The following is a 24,491-nucleotide window of genomic DNA, read 5'->3' on the forward strand; positions in this document are numbered from 1 at the left end:
CCTACCAAGGGTAAAATTATGACTATAATAATAGCAGTGACTTTAACTGGACACATACTATGTGGTTTTTTTTTTTTTTTCTTTTTTTGAGCAGCAGCAAGATTTATTGCAAAGAGCGAAAGAACAAAGCTTCTACAGTGTGGAAGGGGACCCGAGCGGGTTGCCCTTTTTTTTTTTTTTTTTTTTTAAAATTATTCTCATTTTAATGGTCGTCCTTTAATTTAATGTACCTTTAATGTAAGGTAGTTTTACGCTTAAGGAAACAGTGGATGTTGAGTCTCTATTTCCACCCAGAATCGGAACTTTTATTTTTCCTTCTGACCACTTATCCTCAAGTTCTATAGAATGAGAACTTGTAATTATTATCCTATATTGCCTGGAGTCAAATACGTGGTTCTTCCTCAGCTTCTTGGAAAAACAAAACAGTCCGGGCGCGGTGGCTCACGCACTTTGGGAGGCCGAGGCAGGTGGATCACTTGAGGTCAGGAGTTCGAGACCAGCCTGACCAACATGGTGAAACCTGTCTCTAGTAAAACAACAACAACAACAACAAAACTACAAAATTAGCCGGGCGTGATGTCGCACACCTGTAATCCTAGCTACTTGGGAGGCCGAGGCAGGAGAATTGCTTGAACCCAGGAGGTGGGGGTTGCAGTGAGCTGAGATCACACCATTGCACTCCGGCCTGGGCAACAAGAATGAAACTCCATCTCAAAAAACGAAAAGGAAAGAAAAGAAAAAGAAAAACGAAACACAAGGAACACCTCAGTGCACAGATGATTGTTAATTGGTGTTAGTAACCTTGTGGTTCGGGTAAACCTTGTATAAGTAGTTTCCTGTGCTATGAGGTAGTTTCCTGTGCTATAAGTTATACCTGTTATGTATACTTTGTGACTGAGACTTAAAATATTTTAATGTGCCGACCGGTGCTGTTCAGTAGAACTTTCCATGATCATGGCAGTGTTTTATATCTGCACTGTCTGGTATAATAGCCACTAGCCATATGTAGCTGTTTAGAACTTGAAATCCAGCTAGTGTAACTGAGGAGAGAAATTTTAAGTTTTATTACATTTTAATTTAAATAGCCACGTGGGTGGACAGCGCAGATTTAGGCAGAAAAGTTTCAAGTATTTGTGGAGGGCTTAGTCGTCATTCTAAAGTATCATCAACTGGCTAGCATGTTTGGTGCTGGGAAAACCTAGAGAAATAAAATAACAAGGTTGCAGTCTTAATGAAGCTTACCCTCTAGTGTATTAAACAAACATTCTTTAATCACAGAAGTAACTATAATGTTACTAAATGCTTAGAAGGAATGCTAAATAGTGCTTTGAGAGGTTTTATACATGAGATTCAGGGAAGACTTTTCTAAGTAAGTGATAGTTAAGCTGAGGTCTGTAGTAAATGTAGTAAACAGTAAAGGGGAGATCAGTTAAGGCAGATGGAATAACTTGAGTGAAGGGCCATGGCATTTTAAAGAAACTGCATGAAGGCCAGTATTGGCTGAAGTCAAGAGTAGCAGAGAGGGGACTGATTTTAGAAGAGGAACAGCAGACACCTGCTGTGTACTGTGCTTGCGTTTTGGAATACAAAGACAAACGAAACAGTGTCCTGTTTTAGTATTTACAGTGTAGTGGAGGGAGACAGAAAAAGAGGTAGGCAGAATGCAGTGTTACAGGCACCCTACCAGACATCTTTAGAGAGTGCTGTAGGGAGATTAAAGATAGTGGTAAGTTTGATGAAACTTTGAGGAAACGGTTTCTAAATAATCTCCAGAGTTAACTTTTGTGGGTTTTTGTTTGTTTTTTTTTAGTTTCTATTTGTGATGAAAACACACAAGAGACATGTAAAGTGTTTGGACGTTTTCCGATAACAGGTGCTTGGTGGAGAGTGAAGGTACAAGTAAAGCCTGTGGTGGGATCAAGGAGCTATCAATATCAAGTTCAAGGATTTCCGTCTTACTTTTTGCAGTCTGATATGTCACCACCAAATCAAAAACATATCTGTGCTCTCTTTCTTAAAGAGTGTGAGGTCTCCAGTGATGATGTTAATAAATTTTTAACATGGGTAAAGGAGGTATCAAACTACAAAAACCTAAACTTTGAAAATCTTAGGGAAACACTAAGAACTTTCCACAAGGAAACTGGAAGGAAAGATCAAAAGCAGCCTACACAGAATGGTCAGGAAGAGTTGTTCCTAGACAATGAGATGAGTCTTCCTCTGGAAAACACAAGTAAGTGTGATTTTTATCATCAACTTTCAGTGTAATTGACATACTTAATAACTACAGTGTTTAAAATGTTACCACTAGCATAGTATTCTTTTTAAAAATCCATTTGGTGAAAAATGTGTTTATGTTGCTTTTGGAGTATGCCATTGACATTTCAGGTTTCTCATCTGTAGCATGAAGGGATTATATGAGCTGATCTTTAAAATCTTCCAGTTCCTTTCCACCTCTAAAACTGTGATTTTAATCTCTCTTTCTAACTTTTGTATTCACAGCGATTACCTTGAATCATTAATAAAAAAAAATTCAGTTGCTGGCCAGGTGTGGTAGCTGCTCACGTCTGTAATCCCACTTTGGGAGACTGAGGCAGGAGGATCACTTGAGCGCAGGAGATCGAGACTAGCCTGAGCAATGTAGTGAGACCTTGTCTCTACAAAAAATTTTTTAAAAATTAGCCAGGTGTGGTGATATATACCTGTAGTCCCAGCTACTTGGGAGGATGAGGCAGGAGGATCACTTGAGCCTAGGAAATGGAGGCTGCAGTGAGCCATGATTGCACCACTGTACTCCAGCCTAGGTGAGAGTGAGACACCGTCTCAGTTAAAAAAAAAAAAAAATCAGTTGTAAATGATTCTGTTTAAAGAGGTAGAGAAGAACGACAAGGATGTGAATAATACATTTAGGAAATACTTCAGTCCAAAATGGTTTCAAGTAATTTTTAATATGATTTGTTATCTGGATATTCATATATATGGAATATTTCATTTCCTAATTGTATCAAATAAATTTGATGGTACATCAATGAATGATTTCAATGACAAAAGATTATGATTATAGAAAATGATTATGAAGGTTACTATGTAAATTATTTTATATCCTTAGCTTTAAATTTATCTTTATATAATTGAGTCAGAATTTTTATTCTGTTATAGTGCAGGCAGTAGGAAACAAAAGGCTAAGAAATCATTATTTAAGCATTTAAAGAACATAAATTTTGGTGTTAAACACAATGAAAACCATCTCAGTACAAAAGCAATTGTCATAATATGATCAAAATTTTCTTACTGGTTAAAGCAAGTGTACTAATCTGTTTTTGACTTGGGTTTCTTGAATCGGTTGTGCAAAATGAGAAAGTACTTCAAATCAGTCATTCTTTGGGTTCATTTATGTTTTACTTTGTTCCTTTCTGATATCTTGTAGTTCCATTTAGAAATGTAATGACAGCTTTGCAGTTTCCGAAGATAATGGAATTCCTTCCAGTTCTTCTGCCTCGACACTTTAAATGGATCATAGGGTCAGGTTCTAAAGAGATGTTGAAAGAGATAGAAGAGATTTTAGGTACACATCCGTGGAAACTTGGATTTAGTAAAGTAAGTAAAACATTTGCTCAGCATATAGTAATCTTGTGTAAGGCATGGTTTCAGATTTGGCAATTTTCCTTTCTCTTTCAAAGGAAAAAAATTTGTGTGGACCCCAGTATTGATTTATTTTTATTCAAATGTTGCAACTGTACATAAACTTCTTATGGCTATAGCATAAGAAGCTATAGCATAAGAACATTTTATAAGTTGTTATGCAACTTGTAAAGTTGCATAAATTTGTAAATGAAAAAAAATTGATGACATTCAAATTATGGGTATTAATTTAGTTATGTAATTTAATGTGACAAATGTCCTGTAACTAAATTGTCATTTGCAGCTTGAATCTTATTGAGGTCAACAGCTCTTACAAATTTGGCAAGTCCATTCTGCTGTGCAACTCAATTTCCCACTTCCAGTTTGAACTATTGACAATTTTCATTATTCATGTGGTATATCATGGTGTCATTTGATTTTTATTTTGTACACTAACATCATTTACAAATGAATCCGCTTCTGTTCTTATTATTAGAGACTATGAGTAGTAAAGGGGCACACTGAGGCTCCAGTGGTATTGGAAACCAAATGTGGTACTTAATCTTGGTAGTTCTTGCTTATAAGGTGGTTTTGCAAAGAAAAATACAGTTGAGAAACTCTGAGAAAATTCTTGGAACCTCAAGAATGTTTGCAGATGCTGAGTTTGAGAAATACTGGAATAAGGAATTTTTCCCTTACATAAAATGTCTATGAATTCAGTATGCTTTTAAAGATGAGATTCTGGAACATGAGATTATTATATATATTTATTCAGTGGAGAAGAGTGGAAGAGCAATTACATGTAAAAGGCAGATAATAATAGTTTACCTTTTTGTTTAAAAAAACCCTGTAAAATCCAATGTTCTTTATAGAGATATTAAGAAGGGAAGATCATTTTTTAGCTCTTTTAGAGGTCTTTAGAGCCTGTTCACATTTCAAGAATAAATTATATAACATTTTATTATTAACAATACACATTGTGTTAGGCTAATATAATTGAGTAAACATTTATTGAGACCTTACCAGTGTAGAATGGAGATGCGATCAGGCCCTTACTCTCACTCTTGCTAGGCTCACCATCTTCCTGGTGAAGCACAGACCTTGCGTTTTTCTTTTGTGGTCAAGTGAGTTTGAGGCTATGTCTATCAAGATCCTAGGGCCAGCCTTCTTCCTTCCCTGCCACTATCCCTTTCTCTCTACCTCCCCTTTTCTTTTCTTTTTTTTTTTTTCCCACCCAGCCTGGAGTGCAATGGTGTGAGCTCTGCTCACTGCAGTCTCCACCTCCCGGGTTCAAGCGATTCTCCTGCCTCAGCTCCCGAATAGCTGGGATTACAGGCGTGTGCCACCACACCCAGATAATTTTTGTATTTTTAGTAGGGACAGGGTTTCACCATGTTGGCCAGGCTGGTATTGAACTCCTGTCCTCAAGTGATCTGCCCACCTTGGCCTCCCAGAGTGCTGGGATTACAGGCATGAGCTAACACACCTGGTCTTCTACCTCCTCTAAAAAAAAAAAAAAAAAAAAAATTAAAGCATTACATATCAGCTACTGTATTTTCTGCCTTCTGGATTAAGTGAACCCCTGTTTAAGGAGCTGTTGAAGTCCTAGATTCTCTCCCCATTGTGGGCATTAAGTGATTACTGCTTCCCACCCTAGCAAGAGGATAGAGGTTTCTCTTGCCTGATGCCATTCAACTGAGAGCATCCAGGCTTGGGGATACCAGGTGGGGATAAGGCAGAGATTATCTGGTGGTGACTCAGGTTTTTCATTAGGGAACAGTCCCCTCCCTCCCGCCATGTCAGGATCTGGAAGTGTTTTCTCCTGTCCAGTCACTCTTCACAGAGAAGAATCATACGTGGAGATTTTAAGCCTGGATGCAGCATTCTGGGACTCATGAGAAAAGGAGGCCTGAGGTCTCACCATTCAGCATGTAAACTGCTATCCAAGTATTGTATTAGTTTGCTGGGGCTGCCAGAACAAGTACTGCTGACTGGTTGGCTTAAACAACAGAAATTTTTTGTCTTACAATTCTGGAGGCTACAAGTCTGAGATCAAGGTGTGGACAGGGTTGATTTCTTCCAAGGCTTCTCTCCTTGGCTTGTAGATGGTCATTATCTCTTATTAGTTCTTCACATGGCCTTCCTTCTTTGCCAGTCTATGTCCTAATCTCTTCTTCTTATAAGAATACCAGTCATATTAGAGTAGGGCCCATCTCGAGGACCTCATCAATGAGGTGAATAGTCCCATTTAACCTTAATTACCTCTTTAAAACCCTGTCTCCAAATATAGTCACATTCTGAGGATATTGGGGGTTAGGACATCAACATATGAATTTTGGGGGGACACAGTTCGGCCCATAAAAGGTATGGAGGGCTCAGGAGTGATGTCTCCATTAAGAAAAAATGGAGCCGATAGATGACGTGCTCAGTAGATTATAGTGAAGGGAGTTCTGTATCTCTTCTGCAGAGTTTAGGCAGAATTGTTGATAGACACATAGAAAACTAAACAAGTCAAGAAAATGAGGCAGATGTTAACTTCATGATACACACCGAGTTCAACAGAAAACTTAATGTAACAGAGTACATCCTGTCACTCAGCTGTGAATCCTATTTGCATAAGCATAATAAATACCTATTTAACCAAAATTGAACAAAATGTATACTACAACATTTTTCAAATATAGAAACCAAAGAAACACCTGTGGAGGTAATGGTATAAAATAGAGTGACCTTCCATAGAGATAGACTTTCCATAGTAAGGAGTTAATAATGAATATCTAAAATCTTTTAAAAATCAAGGAAAAATATCTATAGTACTTAGAAATATGGAAGTAAATTCTGGAAGAAATAACTAAAGTGTTGGAGATGTTGCCTTTAGAAGGCATGAGAAGGGATAAGGAAAGGATTCATAATTTTTTTGATAAGCCTTATAGTATTATTTCACTTTTAAAACTGTGTGTTAGTGTGATAAAATATAATTTTTATTTAAAAATTATATAGATCTCTAATTACGGTGCAGCCAGTTAGAAAATTAGTGATGTTCTATGGTATTTTCTGTAAATTTTGTTGAAGTTCATGTCTTCTGGGATTTAAAAAATTATTAATAAAGAACATATTCATAAACACTTATGATGTTTATAAACCAACCTGAACTTTATTTCTTAAAGATAACCTACAGAGAGTGGAAACTCCTGCGATGTGAGGCAAGTTGGATAGCATTTTGTCAGTGTGAGTCTCTTCTCCAGCTGATGACTGATTTGGAGAAGAATGCATTAATAATGTATTCCAGACTGAAGCAGATATGTAGAGAAGATGGGCACACATATGTTGAAGTGAATGACTTAACTTTGACATTGTCAAATCATATGTCATTTCATGCTGCTTCAGAGTCTCTGAAGTTTTTGAAGGATATTGGTGTGGTGACATATGAGAAGTCCTGTGTCTTCCCTTATGACCTTTACCATGCTGAAAGAGCCATCGCCTTTTCAATTTGTGACCTGATGAAGAAACCTCCTTGGCATTTATGTGTCGATGTCGAAAAGGTGCTTGCCTCTATTCACACCACAAAACCTGAGAATTCAAGCGATGATGCATTGAATGAGAGCAAACCTGATGAAGTAAGATTAGAAAATCCTGTGGATGTTGTGGACACACAGGACAATGGTGACCATATTTGGACTAATGGTGAAAATGAAATTAATGCAGAAATAAGTGAAGTTCAGCTGGATCAGGATCAGGTTGAAGTTCCACTGGATCGGGATCAGGTGGCTGCTTTGGAAATGATTTGCTCCAATCCTGTGACAGTCATAAGTGGGAAAGGTGGATGTGGGAAGACCACAATCGTTAGCCGTCTTTTTAAGCATATAGAGCAGTTGGAAGAAAGAGAAGTAAAAAAAGCCTGTGAAGATTTTGAACAAGACCAGAATGCTTCAGAAGAATGGATTACCTTTACTGAGCAAAGTCAACTAGAGGCGGACAAGGCTATAGAAGTTTTGCTCACAGCACCTACAGGGAAAGCAGCTGGCTTACTAAGACAGAAAACTGGTCTTCATGCCTACACACTGTGTCAGGTAAAACCTTTGACATTTCATCTGTAGATAAAACATTTGTCGGCCGGGCACAGTGGCTCACGCCTGTAATCCCAGAACTTTTGGGAGACTGAGGCGGGCAGATCACAAGGTCAGGAGATGGAGACCATCCTGGCTAACATGGTGGAACCCTGTCTCTACTAAAATACAAAAAATTAGCCAGGCATGGTGGCACACACCTGTAATCCCAGCTACTCGGGAGGCTGAGTCAGGAGAATCATTTGAACCCAGGAAGCAGAGGTTGCAGTAACTGAGGCTGCACCACTGCGCTCCAGCCTGGGCAACAGAGCGAGACTCCATCTCAAAAAGCAAACGAACAAAAAAAATTTACCTTAAAGACAAACTTATTTCTTAAAGCAATCAGTAGGAATTTATTGAATGTTTCCTGGGTCCCTGTCTTGCAGTAACTGATCATTTAGATCAATGCTTTTCAAAGCAGCAGTCTGTAAATTGTTACCAGTTTGCATGAGAAAGGAGCTAATGGTAGAAGTAAATCAGTGCACTGCTTCCTTCTTTGAGTAAGTCTTATGGAAAAAAAAAAAAAACCTATTGGGTTCAGTGCTGTGGTTCCTGTCTGTAATCCCAGCACTTTGGGAGGCCAAGGTGGGAGGATCACTTGAGCTCAGGAGTTTGAGACTTGCCTGGGCAACATAGTGAGACCCCCATCTCTACAAACAATTAAAAAATTAGGTGGGCATGGTGGCATGCACCTGTAGTTCCAGCTACTCAGGAGGCAGAGGTGAGAGGATTGTTTGAGGCTGTGAGGTCGAAGCTGCAGTGAGCCGTGTTTAGACCACTGCACTCCAGCCTGGGTGACAAAGTAAGACCTTGTCTAAAAACAACAGCAAAAATTCAGTCCCACTAGAGTGTAGGCGTAATGATATAGTTAGTTTAGATCCTGGTACAATATCTGTTTCTCATGGGGGCTGGTTACAAACATGTCACAGTCCATAGACCACATTTTGAGTAACATTGGAAATGGAAGTAAAAGGCCTATATTTTGTAGGATGAAAGTGAGGACTTTGCTCATCTGGAATAAGTCTTTATTTCTTCCACCTAGAACAGTGCCAGACAAATAGTAGTTACATAATAAAAATTTCAAATAAATTAACATTCTTGAAAAAAATAGTATTGGCTATAATTAAGAATCATGGAGTTTAAGCTTGTAAAGAGTTGGAGAGGTTCCTCTAGCCCTAGCCCTGACCTGCCATTTTTTAGATAAAGAAACATGGTAGTTGGAAGATTTCTGAAGAAGGTAATCATTGAATTGGACTCCAAGGAACATGGAGACTCAGGTGAGGAGAAGGACATTGGACTTAGGGGAAAGGCCTTTGCAAAGGCATCGAGGAATATGATCGTAGTGTGCCTGGAGGATTTTGAGGTGACTTCATTGACTGGAATGAAGCCTGTGTCTGACAGAATAGTGGAAATTAAACTTGGGTTAGACAGTGAATTCGAGCTTTAAAGTTAGTAAAGTATTTTGACTTATCTCATTACATCCTTGATAAAGTGATGTTATCTCCACATTTACAGAAACGCCAGTTGAAGTGTGGGGATGTTAAACATTTTGCCTAAGATCTCAGTTAGGTGTAGAACTGGGACTTGAAATGGAGATTTCTGGCCTTCCAGCTTGTTGTTCTTTCCATGGTGTCATTATTTCCTCATTTATTACAGATGCTGTACACTAACAATGAAACTCGAACTTGATCTCTTAGGGAGCCATTTAGGTTCCTAAGCAAGAGAGTGAAAGAAGTTTTAAGGAAGATCATATAGAGTCATAGAGCCATGAGCCACTTATCATATCTTGCCTGTTACCTTTATTTATCACATGAATGAATGGAGACCTAGAGATGTTCAGTGTAGTTTATCAGTGGAAGAGTTTTCTGATCAGTTTATGATCTTTTTTTTGTACTATGCCTTCATGTCTGATTAATCTGAAGGATTGAATTAGAAGGGGACACCCGAAAGGGATCATTACCAAGTTTTATCTGATGTGTCAGCTCTGATTAGTTGGTAGTATCTTAATATCTGCTTGGGATGCTGAGTGAGAGAATATTTCTGAAGCTATGTTTAGGCTCAGGAGAGAGTGCAAGAGCACGGAAAGAGCACTGGAGTGCCATTTATCATCCTTGGACTAGGGTTGCCAGATTTATCAGATAAAAATATGAATAATTTTTTAGTATAAGTTTGTATCAAATAATTCATTGACTTGCTTATACTAAAGTCATTTATTGTGTATTTGAAGTTCAAATTTAACTGGATGTCCTGTATTTTATGGGGCAATCCCATCCTGGGATTGTGTGTGGGGGAACCTGGCTGCAAAGCTATTGGAGTCATCAAGTTGCTGATAGATGGAACCTGTATTGAGCTGGTAGCACTAGAAATACAGTGGAAAATGTCAGCATTTCTAAGATAATAAATTGAATATATCAAATAAGAGAAAAGAAATGGCTAATTCCGAATGTTGTGAGACATGGCTACTGTGAGCATAGGGGGTTTTGTTGAAGGGAATTGATGCATTTGGGTAGGAAATATGAAGGCTTTACTTAATAGACAGTTGAATCTAGTTTTAGTAGAAAAATTAGATGAAGATGTGATATGATACCATTTAGAAAATCTGTACATAACACAGATTGAAAATCTGAAATGCTCCAGTGAGTGTTTCCTTTGAGTGTTATGTCAGTGCTCAAAAAGTTAAGGATTTTGGATTTTGAATTTGCAGATTAGGGATACTCAACCTATAAATGTTCATACTGATGACATAGAAACATTTTTGGGATGATATACACTAAAATATTGAATGTTCTCTGGTTGTAATTTTACAACCAATTTTTTTCTCATCTATATTAAAAAATAATAAATAGTATTACATTTGTAATAAAGAATTTTGTTGTTTATTTGTTGTTGGGGGTGGTGCGGTGGTAGTTTTTAAAAAGTTTTGAGGTGAGGAAGTTTGGAGTACTTGAAAGAAAAAGTAGTATTTTCATAATTCGGTTGAGAAAGCGCTGCTTTTATTCCAGAATGGAGTACTATGGTTGGGAGAAGGGAAGAGCTTCAGTGGCATATCTCAGATGGCCACGAGAAGGTTTATTTGGGAATGGAAAAGAATAGGGAGCTTTCTGTGTTTAAGAACGATGAGGGAAGTGTTGAGATTTTGGAACAATCTGATTTTTTGTTTGTTTGTTTTTAGATTTATTTGGTCTGTCTGTTCTGCATATTCAACCCTATAACTTTTGTGTTTCTTTACTTCCCACCCACCCCTGCCAATTTACGAGTTTTGCCCCAAAATAACTTGCTATTAATTTTTGGTTTTGTAGATTTTATAACCTGACTTTAGGAATGCCATACTTTGCTTGTAGGTCAATTATAGCTTCTATTCATGGACTCAAACAATGATGACCACAAACAAACCATGGAAATTTTCTTCGGTTAGAGTTCTGGTTGTGGATGAAGGGAGTTTGGTATCTGTAGGAATCTTCAAATCGGTCTTAAATTTATTGTGTGAGCACTCCAAACTTTCTAAGCTTATTATCCTTGGTAAGTTAAAATATTGTTGGAATTCTGATGTTTATTTCAAAGTATTGTGGTTAGTTGGTTGTTTACACCATTTAGTTGGTTGTTTACACCAGAATTGATACCAAAGCTACACGAAGATACCAAAGCTACATGAAATTAAATCTGACCACTCTCCTAATCAGCTTGGGTTGTTTTGTTTTGGCCAGGATATTAGCTGGCTGGGATGTGAATGAAATAGGGTTGTTAAGGGCTACTGCTAATCACCTAAATGATGGCTATTAAAATAGTAAAAGTGCCACAGATTCAGAGTAAATCAGGATGTGAATCATTTGGAAATGATAAAAAGTTTGAATTATAGGCCACTTAAAAGTAATTTCATAATGCTAAGCTAATAAATCAGACCTCACCAGCCTCTTAAGTCCTTCCAATTCTGATAAGATTCAGTTAGATTCTCTTGGGTAGTCATGCTCTGTAGACCATATGATTTAATGGAGAAAAAAATAAAATCACAATTGGAGAATCAAGTTGTATATAAAAATTATTATTTTTTTAGGTATTTGAGGATGTCTTTTAAGCAGTTGATTGTATTAATGGCTTAAGCCTTCTCTCTGCTTCCCCCAGTACATGTTTTTCTTATATTTAGGGCTTATTTGTTGCATGCAAAAAATATTTTTAATAGAGCAGAACATCACTATTAGATTACTGGAACGTATCTGTTATCAAATGCATTTATTTATTTGTTTTATATTTTGTACACTTATTTTATCTATTTGAGGCTGTAGATTCTTCCACTTTCAGTAAGACATTGAACATGATTGAAAAAGGGACTAACTACAAATGTCTAAGGCCTGTTTTTTTTTTCCCCTAATATGTTGACTAAAACATATGCCTGTACCCAGTTTCCCTGTGGTTATAGGTATGAAAGATGTTCTATTTAGATTTTGTCACCTTATTGTGTTATTACTATTTTTATATCTTTTACTGTTTAAATGTTGTTTTTTGTAAGGTATTTAACTTTAAACTGTTAAATAATTTTAAACAATCTTGGGGGTATTTTTTCTCAGAGTAAGTCTTGCTACTGTATCTTTTTTTCTTTTAGGTGACATTAGACAGTTACCCAGTATTGAACCTGGTAACTTGCTGAAAGATCTTTTTGAGACTCTTAAGTCAAGAAATTGTGCTATTGAGCTAAAGACAAACCATAGAGCAGAATCTCAGCTCATTGTGGACAATGCTACAAGGTATAATATTACTAAGAGTTTGCATTTTCTGTCTGTTGTATTAGAAATTTAAAAAATGGCCTTTGAATTAGAATGATTTAGTACAATACATTAACTACACCTTTTAGCAAAACTCTTCCATCCTTCAACTATAAACCTTTTGCCCTACAGTTAGAAAAGCAAAGTTAATGTTTTTCATTACTGGTCCAGTATAAGTTATTATTGAAATTTAAAAATGGATGAGGTTTCCTGATTTTAAAAGTATGTATATGAATTAAAATTGTATTAAGCTTAAGGACTAGAATAAGCCCAAGGGGAATGGAGATTTGGAAATAAGTTCATTTACGTGCAAGGGAGAATTGGGGAAGAAATATCCCCTAATTTTTGTGGGAGAAAGCTGAAGGCAAAATAATTGAATGTGGTATTTCACTCCTAGATGAATCCTAGAGGCACCCATGGCATCTTACTTCCCTTAAATAGAAAAGAACCCTTCTCTTCCCTTCGTCTTTGCATAAGCCTTTGGAGTTATCCTCTGTCAGCTCAGACATTTGGTTTCTCCATAATCCACACATATGAAAATCACAATCATTATTATTTCATGACTTTTTTTTAATACAGTCATGCGCCACATAATGTTTGGTCAACAACAGAGCACATCTATGACAGTGGTGCCATAAGATTATAAAACTATAATTTTACTGTACCTTTTCTATGTTTAAATATGTTTACATACACACAAATACTTACCATTGTGTTACAGTTGGGTACAGCACTTGGTACAGTAGCATGCTGTGCAGGTTTGTAGCCTAGGAGCAATAGGCTGTACTATATAGCCTAGATGTATAGTAGGCTATACCATCCAGGTTTGTGTAAGTACACTCTATGCTATTCACACGACGATGAACATTGCCAAATGATGCTTTTCTCAAAACATATCCCTATCATTAATCGATGTGACTGTATTAAAATCTCTAGATATAATGGGACCTTTGAATACTGAGTCTATGTTAGTCATTGTACCAAAATGTATATCTGGTTTTTACTCTTTTTTACAAAATGTTTTGTTGCTTGAACATCTCCTAAGTAGGATGTAGCAGAAACTAGAAGGGTGTCCAGTCTTTTGGCTTCCCTGGGCCACACTGGAAGAGGAATTGTCTTAGGCCCCACGTAAAATACACTAACACTAATGATAGCTGATAAGCTAAAATAATAATAATAATAATAATAATAATAATAATAAGCCAGGTGTGGTGGCTCATGCCTGTAATCCCAGCACTTTGGGAGGATGAGGCAGGCAGATCACCTGAGGTCAGGAGTTTGAGACCAGCCTGGCCAACCTGGTGAAACCCCATCTCTATTAAAAATACAGACATTAGGCCAGGCGCGGTGGCTCATGCCTGTAATCCCACCACTTTGGGAGGCCGAGGCGGGTGGATCACAAGGTCAGGAGATCGAGACCATCCTGGCTAACATGGTGAAACCCTGTCTCTACTAAAAATACAAAAAATTAGCCGGGCTTGGTGGCGGGCGCCTGTAGTCCCAGCTACTCGGGAGGCTGAGGCAGGAGAATGGCATGAACCTGGAAGGCGGAGATTGCAGTGAGCCGAGATCATGCCACTGCACTCCAGCCTGGGTGATACAGCAAGACTCCATCTCAAAAAAAAAAAAAAAAAAAAATACAAACATTAGCTGAGTGTGGTGGTGGGCACCTGTAATCCCAGCTAGTCGGGAGGCTGAGACAGGAGAATCGCTTGAACCCTGGAGGCAGAAGTTGCAGTGAGCTGAGATTGCACCATTGCACTCTAACCTGGGTGATAGAGCGCGACTCCATCTCAAAAAAAAAAAATTGTAAAAAATATAATGTTTTAAGAAAGTTTATGAATTTGTGTTGGGCTGCATTTAAAGCCATACTTGGCCTCATGGCTCGTGGGCCAGACAAGCTTGAACTAGAATTTTCAAAACCTACTTTCTCTAAGCCTCTGTCTACCTTGGACAAAATTGTGGGAGTAGAGGAGGAATTGACAGGAATAGGGTAGACAGTGTGGGTTCATATTAAGACATTAAGAAAACTAATGGAGTTGGATGTAGAATAATCTTTTCCTGTAATCTTTCTGCTTCTACCTAAAGACCACCCCATTTTTGGTAGACGATTAGTCATTTTAAAGTCCAAGAAACGTGGAGGAATCTGAAGCATATTAGCTTTCTCAGAACTCAATTTTATCTGAAACTCAGGAATTCCTTTTAGTAACTTTTTCAATATCATTTGGTTCTAGCTGTGCTCCTTTCATCATTTCATCTTAATCATAATCCTCAAGTATTTATTGACTATGAAGGATCCCTGCTATATACCAGGGAAACGGTCCTGGAGATAGAAGGTGCTACATGCCTTGGGTCAGAAGCAAAACAGGAAATCTATGATGATTCTTCAGGTCCCAATTAAATCTGGGCTATCGCCAGCAAGAACAGCCTCATTCCCTCTCTGTTCCTTTCCACTTTTGTTTGGGAAAAGGTGAAGAAGACACAGTAGGGTACCACCACCTCTGATAACCAGGCTGCTGTTAGTTCTGTTCGAGGAGTCAATCTTCTTCCAAATAACCATACCTTACTCTGTTTTCTGATATGATTTGCTAGCCTCGGAAAATATAAGAATGAAAGAAGGATGAGGAAGGAATAGAAGCAACTAGATGTGGATACTTGGTTCAGTTGGGAAAGTGGGATTATATGTAGAATATACAGAGAAGAAAGGAGAAGAATATAATGTAAACATATGGAAAAGGCCTGAACCAGTTCAAATTAATTTATATAGAAAGGGGTATGGAGTCAAATGCGCCTATTTGCCTCCCAATTCTCCTGTTTTCTATTATTGTGGCCTTGGGCAACCCACTATACTTGACTAAACCTCACATTGTTTACCTGTGAAAAAAGGATAATACCTTCCTTGCATGGTTCTTTTGTGGTCTGGAGATAAATAGACCAGGTTTTCAGAATGGTGCCTAGTAAATCCTCTGATAATTTTTTTTTCCTGATCCTTTTAGTTTGCTAAGGACTGATTGCTAATGTGTAGTACCATAAGTTATTGCTAATGTGTAGTACCATAAGTTTATTGTCTTCTATTATAAAACTCATTTACTATTTATAATGCATACCTGGATGACCTTTTCTCTCTGTTATCTATTAATAGATACTAATTATTATAAGGACATTAGCTCTGATCATATATGAAGACATTTTTGGATGATAATGTTCTTTGTGTGTGTGTGTTATCTTTATTCAAGAATCTCAAGACGCCAATTTCCAAAATTTGATGCAGAACTAAATATCTCTGATAATCCAACATTACCCATCTCAATTCAAGATAAGACATTTATTTTTGTCAGGCTCCCAGAAGAGGATGCCAGTTCTCAGTCATCTAAAACTAATCATCACTCTTGTAAGTATAAACTTCTATGAGATGTAGAGTTAAGTATAACTATTTAAGTTTTGTAACATAGTTATTAAATGACTAGTTACAATTTTCTTTAATGGTAAAGAGAAATATTGCTAGCAAAAAAAGAGACATTGAAAATAAATGAACTTAGTAATCATCAAAAGCAGAATACTCTAGAATTTGGTAAAGAAGTAAGCTCTTGACACATAAATGCTCAGTAAATTTTGTTGATTGAATAGATGGATGTAGATGATTTTGTTTAAAATAAAGCAAAGCCCCAATAATTCAGGTTCATTTAGGACAAAGCAAGTCTTAATTAATGAAGTTTTTCCTTCCTTGCTATTTGAAAAGCAGATACATTTATTTTGAATACAAATACTCAATGCTAATAAAGGCAAATACTTTTATTTTGTTTCTGAAACAAAAATTGTGACTGTCAAACTGTTGCCAAGTTTAATTCCTAATAGTTCTGTTTTATAAAATGGGTAAACGCATGGCTTCTTATTATGGATGTTAGGATGACAATAGGACAGGGTTGAGAAAGAGTGTGGGACAGGAAATCTTCTCCTTTATGTATATGACCTGTGTCATGTCACTTAACCATTTGTAAAATGGGAACCATAGTGGAACTCCCTGTGGAGCTATTACGAGGGTTGAGGGCATTCATCAGTGTGAGACACTCTATAAATGTCAGTTTGTTGTGACTAATAGATGTTATTAAATTAGCTATTGCAAGTGAATTTATTTAAATAGATTGAACTTATCTGTTGATCTTTATTTTCATTATAAACTCACCTAGCAAACCTTTTAAAAATGGTGTAATGGTTTTCTCAAAATTGAATTAGTAAAGGTTTAAACTATTATTACTGAGGACTTTTTGTAGTTGCCACTGTTCTCAAAGGTATATCCTTCCCACTTAACCACTTTCACTGTGTATGTGAAAGTAATGATATACAACTTCATCTGTCAGCCTTTTCCCCTTAGTGTGTGTCCCCAGTCTCACTTCCCGTGGGTTAGTGATCATTTACATGTTACAACAATGTATTTAAATAAATGCGATCATACATAGTGTTCTATAATGTGCTTTTTTGGTTTTTTTTGTTTATTGTAGAAACTTTTTTTTTCTATTTTTCATTCAGCAAATACTTATTGAACTCCTGTTATATACTAGATACAATACAATAGATAAAGCAGAGGAAAAGATTAAAAAAAAATTGTCCCTGAGGTTATTGTGCTTTCATTCTAGTGTGGGAAACAGATAATTAAAAAGTGAACAAATATATTTTCAAACATCAGAGTACAAAGAATCAAGTAAACTTAACTAAATACTTACCAGTGACTGATTAAATTTGTTGCAAGATTGCTTTAGATTGTGGGGGCCAATGATTTGAGAAACAATTTATACTCTTTAAAAAAAAAAGTCAATGATACAGGAATGTTTGAAGTAAGAATTAATGTTCCCTGGTAATTTTCCTTTCTCTTCTTCCCCCAGGACAATCCCATTAAGGTCACACACATAGTAAAAGCTTGGTGTTTATCCTTTTAACCTTATTATATCCATATACAATCATATTTATTTCAGTTTTACATAAATTGGTTTATAAGCTGCATATTGTTTTGTGACTTAGAAATGTATGTTAAATAATTAATAGCTAATGTTTCTTTTCACAGCTTAGTTAATAGTAGGTCCTATTTACAGGTGAGGAAAATGAGACTTAGTTAAATAGATCTCTTTCTTTGCCACTTCACTTAATTCTACCTAAAATATTGTTGGTTTTATTTCTGGTACCCATTCTTTGCATTAATGAGAATGTACTTTTAAAAAAAATTGTCCATTTTAGACTGGTAGCAGAGCTTACCTGATACTGCTTTTCTAAATTAAAAACTTCTGCTGGAAAATTAGTCTCTTCTTCAAGGAAATTGAGTAAATATTCCTTAGGAAGCATATAGTACTTTTTCACTAATTATTAAGTTATTAAGTAAATTATGCCCATTATTACAAAGTACTAAGACCTAAGACAGGATTCATATTTGGGCTAGAATTTCAGAGTTGCTAAAATGTGAGAAAAATGTATATCTTAGAATCAATAAAATACGTTGTACATATTGATCTGCAAGATGTGGGGAAAGTGAAAAAAGGTATGGAACAGTGCCATCCTGTACATGTTAAAAAGAACAGTATGCTGGGAGACCTTTGGAAATTCCTGTTCCGGAAGCCAGGGGTTGGTTGAGGGTGAGCTGAGTCTTGGCTGTTTTCTAGCGGTAATCTTCCCTTCATCTGAAAAATGAAGGGCTCAGCAGGCAGCTAAGTTTGTCTTCCCAGAGCAGGGCATCACAAGGCATGGGCTTTTTCATTCCCTTGTGATTCATCTGCTATTAGGGAAACATACATGGGAAAATGCTTGTACTTCCATGAGCCTTAGTTTTCACATTCATAATATGGATGTCATCAGAAGTCAGACTACCCAATGGCTGTAGGGCATGAGCACCATTGGAATGGATGCCCCCGCTATGCCAGGGTTAACCTTTTAGTTGCTAGATCATGGGGAGGTCTGGGGAGAAGGAAAGAGATGGTTGGGGTGGGGAGTAGAGCATTGTGTTGTTAGGGGAGTGGCTGTTTTCCAGCTAATATGGAAGTATTGCTATGTTTTATACAAGTGTGTGCCAGTTGAATATCAGCTCTGAATATAAGAGCACCTACCACATGTGGGTGTCCTGCATATTAAGTGATATAACATATAAGGCCTGTATATTGTCAAGTTCTAACTGATTACTAACATGATCACAAGGACTTAAAACAGGAAGTTTTACATTAGTCATGCTGTTACACACTTTGTACTCTTGTTTATTTCTTAAATTCAGTGTTCATAAACCATCAGCAAATACACAGTGAGTCTATTACAAATGGGGAACTGTCCTGGCCAGGGGTTGACCTCTCTGTTGAGGGTGGGTTGTCTTGGAACCCTTCTTTCCATTCTCTTTCCTATTGCCCTGGCTGATGTGGGGAATGAGGTTGACATTCCCATGGTGAACTTGTATTCCATTTGGTGAGATATTTTCCCAGGGCCCTTAGCAGGAATCCCAGATTAGTTTCTTCATAGAAATTGTGTTATAATTTGGTGATTTGCTGTGTTAACTTTTTTCTCTTGAATTATTAGGTTTATATTCTGCAGTTAAAACTTTACTACAAGAAAATAACTTACAAAATGCAAAAACATCACAATTTATTGCATTTAGAAGGTAAAGCATTTATAATATTTTAATGTTTTTAATCTAGCTTTTAAATCTCATAACTTATTAATATAGATCCTGTTTGGATGGGAGATTCCAATATTTCATCACTGTTAATTCTCTTTCTTATTTTGGGGTATGTCTTTGTTAGACATGGCAGAGGGCGCTTTCTAAACAGAGCTCTTTCCACCAAGTATTATATTTAGAAGCTCATAGGGACTCTGAATGGAACAAAAGCTTATGCTAAGATAAAAAATACAGGCTGGGCTTGGTGGCTCACACCTGTAATCCCAGCACTTTGGGAGGCCGAGGCAGGCAGATCACTTGAGGTCAGGAGTTTGAGACCAGCCTGGCCAAAATGGTGAAACCCCTCCTGCCTACTAAAAATACAAAAATTAGCCAGGCGTCATGGCACACACCTGTAATCCCAGCTACTTGGGAGGCTGAGGCAGGAGAATTGCTTGAACCCGGGAGGTGGAGGTTGCAGTGAGCCGAGAGCACGCCATTGCACTCCAGCCTGGGCAACAAGAGCGAGACGCTGTCTCAAAAAAAAAAAAAAAAAGATAAAAAGTAGAAAAATACTATTTCCTGGAGAAAGTCTTGGAAACGTTTTGTAGAATCTAGTATGTCATAATTGCTGATAACAAAAGTAAACCTGTAGCAGAGACCATTAAGGTGACCCCTGCATTTTCGTGTGTTTCAGGCAAGACTGTGATCTAATTAATGACTGCTGCTGCAAACACTACACAGGCCACCTCACCAAGTGAGTGTCTTCGAGAACTGAAACTTTTAAGGACAGTCCTTCTTCGATTTGCTGGTTTTTTTTTTTGCTTTGATGTTTGTCACCTATTTACATATATTCCCAAAATAGTTTTTTTTCCCATTTGTGAAATAGAATGATCTCTTCAATTAAATACAATATATGAATACATCCTTGGGAATTGACATTTTAGTAATGAGTGGAATAAGAAGAAAAATTAGGAGTGAAATTTTTTTGGTTTCAACCTTGGCAGCCTTCAGCTTCTCCAAGATAAGCATGGGGAGCTCAGGGGAATTTTAAAAATTATGTGTGTAGTGTTTCTGAGAATCTTAGCAACAGGGTGCCTGCAGAGAGCAACTTAGTGAGTGTCTGTCTATCAGAGAAATATGAGTGTAGACAAGCCACTGTGGTCATACATAGGAAAAATTAATTCATTTCTCTTGAATTGACCAATACCTGCTTTGCACTAAGTATAGACATCCTAGATATGTATAAGGTATAGGTGGAGTGCCTGTCTGCTGAGGGAAGTTACACAAAAATCTGTCAGGTAGCCCAACAAGAGGCCAGAAAGCATGGGCTTGAGGCCATGTACCCAGGGTCCCAGTAACTGTGATGATGGGCCAGGTCGTTTCCCTCTCCCACGTCTATAAAAGCGGGTATGGACACAGAATTTCCCTTACCAAGTTGTAGTAAGAATGAAATGAAATAATGTACCTAAAGCAGTTAGCGCAGTAGCTGGCCTATCACCACCACTTCTTCAGTTTGCTGCTGTTGTACTGATATAGTGCCATAATTATTACAATAGAAATGTGTATAAGTGCTGTAAGACCTCAAATAAGGTAATGATAAGAGAGATTGGAGAGCAGAGGATTAATTTTAAAGGAAAAAAATCAAAATTTGTGTTAACCTTTAGAATATAAGGGGAAAGAGAGACATCAGCATTTAAGCCAAAATTTCTAACTTGAAAAAATTTGACTGGGAAATGTCATTGAGTTTGAGACGTTGCAGGGAGTATGTATAAATAATCAGATGACAGCTATGGGAACCTGATTTCTTGTTGCTCATTGGAGAATGAAAGTGTTGTAAATAAAATGTGGAAATTATTCTGAAAATTGAAACGAGTCTGAGTAGTAGTTAATGTTTGAACAAGTGAAACGGAGACTTTCCAAACTTTGATTATATATTATCATTTTCTATCCCAGAGACCATCAGAGTAGACTTGTTTTTGGAATTGGTGATAAAATTTGTTGTACCAGGAATGCATACCTCTCAGACTTACTACCTGAAAATATCTCTGGAAGTCAGCAAAATAATGATCTAGATGCCAGTAGTGAAGACTTTTCTGGTACGCTTCCTGATTTTGCTAAAAATAAGCGTGACTTTGAAAGTAACGTTCGACTGTGCAATGGAGAGATATTTTTCATAACAAATGTAAGTGAAAACAGAAGATAATATCTTTTAACTAATTAGAGATATGTTTGGTTATTTTATTGTCCTAGGATTCATTCAGAATCTAATGATATCAGTTGACATTCTTGTTTCATGATTTTTTGTTAAGGATTTTTGGCATCCATGTTTATGAAGGATATGGGTAGTTATCTGGTAATGTCCTGTCTGGCTTTAATATCAGGATAATACTGGCCTCAGAAAATGAGTTGGGAAGTGCTTCTTCTTATATTTTCTAGAAGATTTTATGAAGAAACATTTTTAATAAAATCGAAGTACTTGAGTAACAAAAAACAAGGCATAAATGAGACATAGATTTTAAAAAGCATCATTTCCTTTGTTGCTGCTTAAATGTAGAAACTATAGAAGTGGTTGCCTTGTATTTGTTCTCACAGTGTAGATACCCTCACTGAAAGCTGTGAGGAAAAGTAAACTGCAAAGAATCTACTCAGACTTATGTAGTCAATACAAGAAATGAATGTATAGACTTCAAAATAAGAAATAACAGGCTGTTCTTCACAGAGTCAAATTGAAGATAAGTTTCAAAGACTGAAAACTTCTATTTGTGTTTATTAAAATATTTAGGTATAGATATATTGTTTGTGCTGAAATGCAAATTTTAAGCCTTTTGAAATTCTTAATGGTAATTGTAATTCTTATATTTTATGTTTGACCCAAAGATAGAATATCTTTGAACGTATTTGAACGTAGAACATATTTGAAGGTATGCAAAATAGTTCTTTGGTTTGGTGACAGGATGTAACTGATGTAACTTTTGGAAAGAGAAGATCTTTGACCATTAATAATATGGCTGGCCTGGAAGTAACTGTGGATTTTAAGAAACTAATGAAATATTGTCGCATAAAACATGCATGGGCAAGAACTATTCACACTTTTCAGGTAAGAGGAGACTTTTATCAAACCTTTTAAATAATTTACCAACCTTAGAGCGCCTTGCATTGTTTTCGTAAATTTTTGTTGCACTTATTAGCAAACAAAAATTAGGAAACAAAATACACAAAAGTACAGAACATAATAGAGAAGACGCCACCCTTTTGCTCTTTTTTGCTCCAGAGCTCTCTTTATTTTTAGAAACAAAGGCATTATAGGTAAAGTCTCCTCCTTCAGGTCTTCCCCTCCCTGCCTGAGTCTCCAGTATGGCTTGGCATGGCACTGTACTCATCTTATCTTTGGTTAAATTCTGATATTTTGTTCATCATGGATCCTTTTGTGCCTTAATTTTGATTTACAAAACTGTTACATTAAAATGTCTTGATTTATCTTGATTGCTGAGTTTCTTGGGAACCCATTAAATTTTGTACTGGAGGTGAGTTCCTCACTTGCCTTGCCCTAGTCCTGGGTCTGCCTCCCGCCTTCCTCCAAAGTGACTTCTGCCCCGAATTTGGTATATATCACTCCTATTCATGTAGAAGCAATATATATGATTGTTTTCTGTGTTACTGAGGCTTATGTAAATGGTGTAATCATGTTTCTATACTTTTGCAACTAGCTTTTATTTTTTATTTTTTGCCTTATCAACTTTGTGGGGTATAATGTGCATACAGTTTCATTATAAAGTTGGTTGAGTTTTGACAAATGTATCCTCTCTCTCCATCTTTGTGAGGCAACCTTTTATCCCCCCGCCCCCAACTTATGTGGGAATATTGTTAGGTTTACAGAAGAGTTGGAATGATACTACAGAGAGTTTTCATATACCTTTCACCCAGCTTTCCTTGGTGTTTAACATTTTATAACTATGGCATATTTGTCAAAACTAAGAAATTACTATTGCTGTAAGACTGCTAACTAAACTATGCATATTCGAATTGCACCAGTTTTTCCATTAATGTCCTTTTGCTGTTCTAGGACAGCATATTGAGTTTAGTGCAACTTGCCTTTATGCTTTATTTTAATGCCCTTGAATTCTCATCTGTTATTAGTGAGTCTCTTATTTATCTCTTTGTTTTGAGCTTCCTTCTCTGCTGTTGGTATGTTGCTTTAATGGAGAGGTTGCATCAACCTTCATTTTTTTTTTTGAGACAGTCTCGCTGTGTCGCCCAGGCTGGAGTGCAGTGGCGCGATCTTGGCTCACTGTAAGTTCCGCCTCCCAGGTTCAAGTGATTCTCCTGCCTCAGCTTCCCGAGTAGCTGGGATTACAGGCACATGCCACCACGCCTGGCTAATTTCTGTATTCTTAGTAGAGACGGGGTTTCACCATGTTGGTCAGGCTGGTCTCGAACTCCTGACCTTGTGATCTGCCCATCTCGGCCTCCCAAAGTGCTGGGATTACAGGCCTGAGCCACTGCACCCGGCCCAACCCTCATTTTTATGCAGAAAAATTTAGGTCAGCCCAAATTTTCTACTAGTAAACAAACATTAATTAGCATAGAGTTTTGTTTTCTTTTTTAAGTGGGTGGGGCTTTATTTATTAACTTACCCCATCTCGATTCCAAAAAGAATTTGAAATGGCTTATTAAAAATGCCCACAATTCAGCTGATTTTTTTTTTTTAAAGGTAAAAAAGGGTCTGGTGTGGTGGCTCACGCTTGTAATCCCAGCACTTTGGGAGGCCGAGGTAGGTGGATCACTTGCAGTCAGGAGTTCAAGACCAACCCTGGCCAACATGGTAAAACCCCATCTCTACTAAAAAATACAAAAAAGGTAACTGGGCATGGTGGTGGGCACCTCTAAACCCAGCTACTTGAGAGGCTGAGGCATGAGAATCACTTGATCCTGGGAGGCAGAGGTTGCAGCAAGCTGAGATTGTGCCACTGCACTCCAGCCTGGGCAACAGAGGGAGACTTCATCTCAAAAAAAAAAAAAAAAAAAAAAAAAAAAAAAATATATATATATATATGTTTATATAGAAAGGATGTCAAGTGAAAAATAAGGATGATAAAATGGTTCTTGCCAGGGGTGGTTGGAATGCAGCCATGCCCGCTTCCCTGTTTGCTAATGTCGATTGCAGATTTGGCTTTAAGTTCCCTTAAGACCAAAGTTCCCCAGGTAAAGTGAGAGTAAAAGTGTAATATTTCTGGCTCTGGGTCCTGAAGAATTTCTTCCGTGGATCTCTATGATGCCATCCTTCACCTTTACGAAATTTTCTTTTTCTCAGTTTCCTCTGTTCTGTCTCTCTAGAATTCCTAATATGTGCATATTAGACTTCCAGAAGTAGTTACCTAAATT

At 37.1% G+C, this 24,491-nt stretch overlaps 1 protein-coding gene across 5 annotated transcripts in view, besides 2 other annotated features; it reads left to right on the forward strand.

The window, feature by feature from the left end:
- HELB (DNA helicase B) overlaps positions 1-24,491 on the forward strand; it is a 41,151-nt gene that overhangs the window by 428 nt on the left and 16,232 nt on the right. For 2 of the 5 annotated variants that reach the window (NM_033647.5, NM_001370285.1), the window contains exons 2-11: positions 1,811-2,230; positions 3,425-3,594; positions 6,786-7,688; positions 11,066-11,243; positions 12,322-12,463; positions 15,718-15,872; positions 19,028-19,109; positions 19,804-19,863; positions 21,063-21,291; positions 22,063-22,206. In NM_033647.5, the coding sequence (NP_387467.2) occupies positions 1,811-2,230; positions 3,425-3,594; positions 6,786-7,688; positions 11,066-11,243; positions 12,322-12,463; positions 15,718-15,872; positions 19,028-19,109; positions 19,804-19,863; positions 21,063-21,291; positions 22,063-22,206 (2,483 nt within the window). Of the gene's footprint in view, positions 1-1,810; positions 2,231-3,424; positions 3,595-6,785; positions 7,689-11,065; positions 11,244-12,321; positions 12,464-15,717; positions 15,873-19,027; positions 19,110-19,803; positions 19,864-21,062; positions 21,292-21,986; positions 22,593-24,491 lie in introns of those variants that run through there. The other 3 variants (NR_135080.2, XM_047429893.1, NR_135081.2) reach the window with 3 other exon arrangements.
- Positions 464-563: an enhancer, noted in NCBI's record as "active region_6618". NCBI's record gives its function as "activates an Ori minimal core promoter by ATAC-STARR-seq in GM12878 lymphoblastoid cells {active_cell/tissue: GM12878}" and the evidence as "EXISTENCE:reporter gene assay evidence [ECO:0000049][PMID:35858748]".
- Positions 594-903: an enhancer, noted in NCBI's record as "active region_6619". NCBI's record gives its function as "activates an Ori minimal core promoter by ATAC-STARR-seq in GM12878 lymphoblastoid cells {active_cell/tissue: GM12878}" and the evidence as "EXISTENCE:reporter gene assay evidence [ECO:0000049][PMID:35858748]".

The sequence above is a fragment of the Homo sapiens genome, chromosome 12 (genome assembly GCF_000001405.40).
Source record: "Homo sapiens chromosome 12, GRCh38.p14 Primary Assembly".
Taxonomy (NCBI): Eukaryota; Metazoa; Chordata; class Mammalia; order Primates; family Hominidae; genus Homo; species Homo sapiens.